The 8,146-nt window shown below is 49.7% G+C and overlaps 3 annotated features.

Moving 5' to 3' along the window:
- Positions 306-952: an enhancer, noted in NCBI's record as "NANOG-H3K27ac hESC enhancer chr19:47895565-47896211 (GRCh37/hg19 assembly coordinates)". NCBI's record gives its function as "activates a minimal SCP1, AML or CMV promoter by ChIP-STARR-seq in primed H9 embryonic stem cells {active_cell/tissue: H9 hESC(primed)}" and the evidence as "EXISTENCE:reporter gene assay evidence [ECO:0000049][PMID:30033119]".
- Positions 953-1,600: an enhancer, noted in NCBI's record as "NANOG-H3K27ac hESC enhancer chr19:47896212-47896859 (GRCh37/hg19 assembly coordinates)". NCBI's record gives its function as "activates a minimal SCP1, AML or CMV promoter by ChIP-STARR-seq in primed H9 embryonic stem cells {active_cell/tissue: H9 hESC(primed)}" and the evidence as "EXISTENCE:reporter gene assay evidence [ECO:0000049][PMID:30033119]".
- Positions 6,156-6,823: an enhancer, noted in NCBI's record as "NANOG-H3K27ac-H3K4me1 hESC enhancer chr19:47901415-47902082 (GRCh37/hg19 assembly coordinates)". NCBI's record gives its function as "activates a minimal SCP1, AML or CMV promoter by ChIP-STARR-seq in naive H9 embryonic stem cells {active_cell/tissue: H9 hESC(naive)}" and the evidence as "EXISTENCE:reporter gene assay evidence [ECO:0000049][PMID:30033119]".

Here is an 8,146-nt window from a genome sequence, read left to right on the forward strand (position 1 = left end):
GTGATCCTCCTGCCTCAGCCTCCCGAGTAGCTGGGACCACAGGCCTGCACCACCACATCTGGCTAATTGTTTAAACTTTTTGTAGAGACAGGTCTCACTATGTTGCCCAGGCTAGTCTCGAACTCCTGGCCTTAAGAGATTCTCCCACCTGGGCCTCCCAATGTGTTGGGATTACTGGCATGAACCACCGCCCGGCCAAGTCATAGCACTCTGGTGGCTGCTCTGACTCTGCTGTCCAAGCGGTAACCACCCACCTTGCCTTTGGTCATTAAGTTCTGTCACTTGGTCCCTGCCACCCTGAGATCCAATTATCCCCATTGGAGTCAGGCTTTCCGATTCTTGCTCTGTCCACCCAGGCTGGAGTGCAGTGGCGTAATCTCAGCTCACTGCAACCTCCGCCTCCCAGGTTCAAGCAATTCTCCTGCCTCAGCCTCCTGAGTAGCCAGGGATTACAGGCACCCGCCACCACACCCAGCTAATTGTTTTGTATTTTTAGTAGAGATGGGGTTTCATCTTGTTGGCCAGGCTGGTCTCGAACCCCTGACCTCAGTGATCCGCCTGCCTTGGCCTCCCAAAGTGCAGAGATTACAGGCGAGAGCCACCGTGCCCACCATAATTTTTGTATTTGTAAAGAGCCAGGATTTCACCATGTTGGCCAGGCTGGTCTTGAACTCCTGATTTCAGGTGATCCACCCACTTCGGCCTCCCAAACTCCCACTGTAAGTTCTGACCTAGGAGGAGCGCGATCGCAACACAACAATGCCGTGGACACAGACACGGTTGATAGAGACCAGCTTGTCACACAATCCCAACCCTAGTTCAGTCTTGTCAGGCCTCTGAGCCCAAGTCAAGCCATCACATCCCCTGTGACTTGCACGTATACGCCCAGGTGGCCTGAAGTAACTGAAGAATCACACAACAAGTGAATATGCCCTGCCCCACCTTAACTGATGACATTCCACCACAAAAGAATTGAAAATAGCTTGTTCCTGCCTTAACTGATGACACTATCTTGTGAAATTCCTTCTCCTGGCTCATCCTGGCTCAAAAGCTCCCCTACTGAGCACCTTGTGACCCCCCACTCCTGCCCGCCAGAGAACAACCCCCCTTTTTCCTTTACCTACCCAAATCCTATAAAACGGCCCCACCCTTATCTCCCTTCACTGACTCTCTTTTCCGACTCAGCCCTCCTGCACCCAGGTGAAATAAACATCTTTATTGCTCACACAAAGCCTGTTTGGTGGTCTCTTCACATGGACGCGCATAAAATTTGGTACCATGACTCGGATCAGGGGACCTCCCTTGGGAGATCAATCCCCTGTCTTCCTGCTCTTTGCTCCGTGAGAAAAGATCCACCTGTGACCTCAGGTCCTCAGACCCACCAGCCCAAGAAACATTTCACCAATTTCAAATCCGGTAAGCGGCCTCTTTTTACTCTCTTCTCCAACCTCCCTCACTATCCCTCAACCTCTTTCTCCTTTCAATCTTGGCACCACACTTCAATCTCTCCCTTCTCTTAATTTCAATTCCTTTCATTTTCTGGTAGAGACAAAGGAGACACGTTTTATCTGTGGACCCAAAACTCCGGTGCCGGTCACGGACTGGGAAGGCAGCCTTCCCTTGGTGTTTAATCATTGCAGGGACACCTCTCTGATTATTCACCCAGGTTTCAGAGGTGTCAGACCGCGCAGGGATGCCTGCCTTGGTCTTTCACCCTTAGCGGCAAGTCCCGCTTTTCTGGGGGAGGGGCAAGTACCCCAACCCCTTCTGTGTCTCTACCCCTTCTCCACCTTTTCTAGGGGGCAAGAACCCCCAATCCCTTATTTCCACATCCCGACCCCTTTCCCACTTTTCTGGAGGGTAAGAACCCCCGAACCCCTTCCCTCCGTGTCTCTATGCTCTCTTTTCTCTGGGCTTGCCTCCTTCACTATGGGCAACCTTCCACCCTCCATTCCTCCTTCTTCTCCCTTAGCCTGTGTTCTCAAGAACTTAAAACCTCTTCAACTCACACCTGACCTAAAACCTAAACCCCTTGTTTTCTTCTGCAACACCGCTTGGCCCCAATACAAACTGGGCAATGGCTCTAAATGGCCAGAAAACAGCACTTTCGATTTCTCCATCCTACAAGACCTAAATATTTTTTGTCAAAAAATGGGCAAATGGTCTGAGGTGCCTGACGTCCAGGTATTCTTTTACACATCGGTCCCTTTCTAGTCTCTGTTCCCAATGCAACTCGTCCCAAATCCTCCTTCTTTCCCTCCCGCCTGTCCCCTCAGTCCCAACCCCAAGCGTCGCTGAGTCTTTCCAGTCTTCCTTTTCTACAGACCCATCTGACCTCTCCCCTCCTCGCCAGGCCGAGCTAAGTCCCAATTCTTCCTCAGCCTCCGCTCCTCCACCCGATAATCCTTCTGTCGTCCTCACACCCAGGGTGTCCTCACACCCTGTCCAGCTTACAGTTTAGTTCCACGACTAGCTCTTCCCCACCTGCCCAACAATTTCCTCTTAGAGAGGTGGCTGGAGCTGAAGGCACAGTCAGGGTACATGTACGTTTTTCTCTATCAGACCTCTCTCAGGTGAGTCAGCGTTTAGGCTCTTTCTCATCAGACCCCACTAAACATATACAGGAATTCCGATATCTAACTCTGTCCTACAACTTAACCTGGAGTGACTTAATATCATCCTGACTTCTGCCCTCTCCCCAGATGAGTGGGAAAGAGTTTTTCTCTAGCCCAATCTCACGCTGATAACCGCCGGCTTCATGAGCCAGACCTCCAGGAAGGCAGTAGAGCAGTTCCCCGAGAGGGTCCCCAATGGAACTATCAGGCAAATTCCCCAGGTATAGCTAGGTGAGATTACATGGTTTCCTACCTAGTTGAAGGGCTTAAAAAGGCAGCTTACAAAGCTGTTAATTATGACAAACTTAAAGAAACTACCCAAGGTAAAGAGGAAAACCCAGCCCAGTTCGTGGCCCACTTAGCAGCAACACTTAGACGCTATACCGCCCTAGACCCAGAAGGGCCAGAAGGCCGCCTTATTCTTAATATGCATTTTATCACTCAGTCCACTCCTGACATTAGGAAAAAACTTCAAAAATTAGAATCTGGCCCTCAAACCCCACAACAGGAATTAAGCAACCTCGCCTTCAAGGTGTACAATAATAGAGAGGAAGCAGCCAGATGGCAACGCATTTCTGAGTTACAATTACTTGTCTCTGCTGTGAGACAAAACCCAGCCATACCTCCAGCTACAAGAACTTCAAAATGCCTAAGCAGCAGCAGTCAAGCATTCCTACAAGACTTCCTCCATCAGGATCTTGCTTCAAGTGCCAGAAATCTGGCCACTGGGCCAAGGAATGCCCACAGCCCAGGATTCCTTCCAAGCCATGTCCCATCTGTGCAGGGACCCACTGGAAGGCAGACTGCCCAGCTCACCCAGGAGCCACTCCTAGAGCCCCTAAAGCTCTGGCCCAAGGCTCTCTGACTGCTTCCCAGATCTTCTCGGCTTAGCGGCTGAAGACTGATGCTGCCCGATCGCCTCGGAAGCCCCCTAGACCATCACAGACGCCAAGCTTCATGCAACTCTCACAGTGGAAGGTAAGTCCGTCCCCTTCTTAATCAATATGGAGGCCACCCACTCCACATTACCTTATTTTCAAGGGCCTGTTTCCCTGCCACCATAACTGTTGTGGGTATTGACAGCCAGGCTTCTAAACCTTTTAAAACTCCCCAACTCTGGTGCCAACTTAGACGATACTCTTTAAAGCACTCCTTTTAGTTATCCCCACCTGCCCAGTTCCCTTATTAGGCCGAGATATTTTAACCAAATTATCTGCTTCCCTGACTGTTCCTGGACTACAGCTGCATCTCATTGCCGCCCTTCTTCCCAACCCAAAGCCTCCTTCGCGTCTTCCTCTTGTGTCCCACCTTAACCCACAAGTATAAGATACCTCTACTCCTTCCCTGGCAACCGATCACATGCCCATCACCATCCCATTAAAACCTAATCACCCTTACCCCGCTCAACGCCAATATCCCATCCCACAGCACGCTTTAAAAGGATTAAAACTTGTTATCACTCTCCTGCTACAGCATGGCCTTTTAAAGCCTACAAACTCCCCTTACAATTCCCCCATTTCACCTGTCCTAAAACCAGACAAGCCTTACAGGTTAGTTCAGGATCTGTGCCTTATCAACCAAATTGTTTTGCCTATCCACCCCATGGTGCCAAACCCATATACTCTCCTATCCTCAATACCTCCCTCCTCAACCCATTATTCTGTTCTGGATCTCAAACATGCTTTCTTTACTCTTCCTTTGCACCCATCATCCCAGCCTCTCTTCGCTTTCACTTGGACTGACCCTGACACCCATCAGGCTCAGCAAACTACCTGGGCTGTACTGCCGCAAGGCTTCACAGACAGCCCCCATTACTTCAGTCAAGCCCAAATTTCATCCTCATCTGTTACCTATCTCAGCATAATTATCATAAAAACACAGGTGCTCTCCCTGCTGATCGTGTCCAATTAATCTCCCAAACCTCAATCCCTTATAAAACAACTCCTTTCCTTCCTAGGCATGGTTAGTGTGGTCAGAATTCTTACACAAGAGCCAGGACCGCACCCTGTAGCCTTTCTGTCCAAACAACTTGACCTTACTGTTTTAGCCTAGCCCTCATGTCTGCGTGCAGCGGCTGCCGCTGCTTTAATACTTTTAGAGGCCCTAAAAATCACAAACTATGCTCAACTCACTCTCTACATTTCTCATAACTTCCAAAATCTATTTTCTTCCTCATACCTGACGCATGTACTTTCTGCTCCCCGGCTCCTTCAGCTGCACTCACTCTTAAGTCCCACAATTACCATTGTTCCTGGCCCGGACTTCAATCTGGCCTCCCACATTATTCCTGATACCACACCTGACCCCCATGACTGTATCTCTCTGATCCACCTGATATTCACCCCATTTCCCCATATTTCCTTCTTTCCTGTTCCTCACTCTGATCACGCTTGATTTACTGATGGCAGTTCCACCAGGCCTAATCGCCACACACCAGCAAAGGCAGGCTATGCTATAGTACAAGCCACTAGCCCGCCTCTTAGAACCTCTCATTTTCTTTCCATCGTGGAAATCTGTCCTCAAGGAAATCACTTCTCAGTGTTCCATCTGCTGTTCTACTACTCCTCAGGGATTATTCAGGCCCCCTCCCTTCCCTACACATCAAGCTCAGGGATTTGCCCCCACCCAGGACTGGCAAATTAGCTTTACTCAACATGCCCCGAGTCAGGAAACCAAAATACCTCTTAGTCTAGGCAGACACTTTCACTGGATAGGTACAGGCCTTTTCTACAAGGTCTGAGAAGGCCACCGCAGTCATTTCTTCCCTTCTGTCAGACATAATTCCTCAGTTTAGCCTTCCCACCTCTATACAGTCTGATAACAGACCAGCCTTTATTAGTCAAATCAGCCAAGCAGTTTTTCAGGCTCTTAGTATTCAGTGAAACCTTTATATCCCTTACGGTCCTCCGTCTTCAGGAAAAGTAGAACAGACTAAAGGTCTTTTAAAAACACACCTCACCAAGCTCAGCCGCCAACTTAAAAAGGACTGGACAATACTTTTACCTCTTTCGCTTCTCAGAATGCTGCAGGGTACAGCCTATTTGAGCTCCTGTATGGACAATCCTTTTTATTAGGCCCCAGTCTCATTCCAGACACCGGACCAACTTAGACTGTGCCCCCAAAAAACTTGTCATCCCTACTATCTTCTGTCTAGTCATACTCCTATTCTCCGTTCTCAACTACTCATACGTGCCCTGCTCTTGTTCACACTGCCGGTTTACACTGTTTCTCCAAGCCATCACAGCTGATATCTCCTCGTGCTATCCCCAAACTGCCACTCTTAACTCCTGAAGTAAACAAATAATCTTTGCTGGCAGGACTATGCTGAATCTCCTTAGGCACTCTCTAATCAGATGTCCTGAGTCGTCCCAATTCTTAGACATTTTATACCTGTTTTTCTCCTTCTCTTATTCCATTTAGTTTTTCAATTCATACAAAACTGTACCCAGGCCATCACCAATAATTCTAAATGACAAATGTTTCTTCTAACAACCCCACAATATCACCCCTTACCACAAAATCTTCCTTCAGCTTAATCTCTCCCACTCTAGGTTCCCACGCCGCCCCTAATCCCGCTTGAAGCAGCCCCGAGAAATCGCCCATTCTCTCTCCATACCACCCCCCAAAAAAATTTTCGCCGCCCCAACACTTCAACACTATTTTGTTTTATTTTTCTTATTAATATAAGAAGGCATGAATGTCAGGCCTCTGAGCCCAAGCCAAGCCATCGCATCCCCTGTGACTTGCACGTATACGCCCAGGTGGCCTGAAGTAACTGAAGAATCACAAAACAAGTGAATATGCCCTACCCGGCCTTAACTGATGACATTCCACCACAAAAGAAGTGAAAATAGCCTGTTCCTGCCTTAACTGATGTCACTGTCTTGTGAAATTCCTTCTCCTGGCTCATCCTGGCTCAAAAGCTCCCCCACTGAGTACCTTGTGACCCCCCACTCCTGCCCACCAGAGAACAACCCCCCTTTTTCCTTTACCTACCCAAATCCTGTAAAACAGCCCCGCCCTTATCTCCCTTCACTGACTCTCTTTTTGGACTCAGCCCTCCTGCCCCCAGGTGAAATAAACAGCTTTATTGCTCACACAAAGCCTGTTTGGTGGTCTCTTCACACGGACGCGCATGAAAAGTCTCATCGTCACAGTCAGGAACCTACACAGAGACACACAACCTATACCAAGGCACGTGTGACGGACACCGCCACTCAGCGACAGACACACACACCACATTCAGCAACAGGACACGGGCGGTGCCTCCAGCCACACCGACATCCCTCAACCACTGCCCTCGACCACCACATTCCAAGTCCACAGGCCCAGAGGACACACAGGGGTCAGACACACACCAACTGCAGCCCCCGAGCCCCGCCTGCCTATCCCCTGGGTCCTCACCCCACGACCCAGGATGCCCCTGAACCAGGGGCCCCTCCTGCTCTGAGATGCCAACCTACCATACACGCAGGTCCAGTGGCTGCTTCCTCCTCTCAGGAAGTGGGGGAGATATTTTTAGTTACAATTAACCTCCCACCCAATTTCCCTTCTCCCCAGGCACATCCAATTGGTTTAATTAGAGATGATTAAGTTAATGAGAGGCATTTCCAGATTCTGGGAAAAGGGGGAGGAGGGGAAGAGGAGAGCTGTCCCCTCCCCAACTTCCCAGTGTACCAGCCGCTGGGACCCCTTCCCAGCACCAGGCAGGGGATACACTAAGCAACTGCCTCCCCTCTCAGCCGACCTCAAAGTCTTGGCCTGGCCCTGCCCCTCCCCCATATTCCTTCCCCCACCTGCCATCAAGGGAGGGTGATTGTTTGAAGTCCTTCCTGCTGTCCACCCATCACCCATCCCACCTGAGTCCCGGGGAGTTTTGGGAGAGAGAAACTCTCATCATAGTCACGAAAACAATATCAGGCCAGGTGCGGTAGCTCACGCCAGTATTCCCAGCATCTTGGGAGGCCGAGGCGGCTGGACGGCTTGAACCCAGGAGTTCAAGACCAGCCTGGGAACACCATGAAAAGCCATCTCTACCAACAAATATAAATAATTAGCCAGGCATGGTGGTTTGTGCCTGTAGTCTCGGCTGCTGAGGAGGCTAAGGAAGGAGGATTGCTGGAGTGTTGGAGTTTGAGGCTGCAATGAGCTGTGATTACAGAGGGAGACCCTATCTCAAAAACAAAAGCAATTTAAAAAATTAAAAATCAGGCCAGGCACGGTGGCTCACATCTGTAATCCCAGCACTTTGGGAGGCCGAGGCAGGTGGATCACTTGAGGTCAGGAGTTCGAGACCAGCCTGGCCAACACAGCAAAACCCCGTCTCCACTAAAAATTACAAAAATTAGCCAGGCCTGGTGGTGCATGCCTGTAGTCCAAGCTACTTGGGAGGCTGAGGCAGCAGAATTGCTTGAACCTGGAAGGAGGAGGTTGTGGTGAGCTGAAATCACACCCCTGCATTCCAGCCTGGGCGACAGAGTGAGACTCTTGTCTCAAAAAAATTAAATAAATAAATAAATAAAAATTAGAAT

The sequence above is a fragment of the Homo sapiens genome, chromosome 19 (assembly GCF_000001405.40).
Source record: "Homo sapiens chromosome 19, GRCh38.p14 Primary Assembly".
In the NCBI taxonomy this organism is placed as follows: domain Eukaryota; kingdom Metazoa; phylum Chordata; class Mammalia; order Primates; family Hominidae; genus Homo; species Homo sapiens.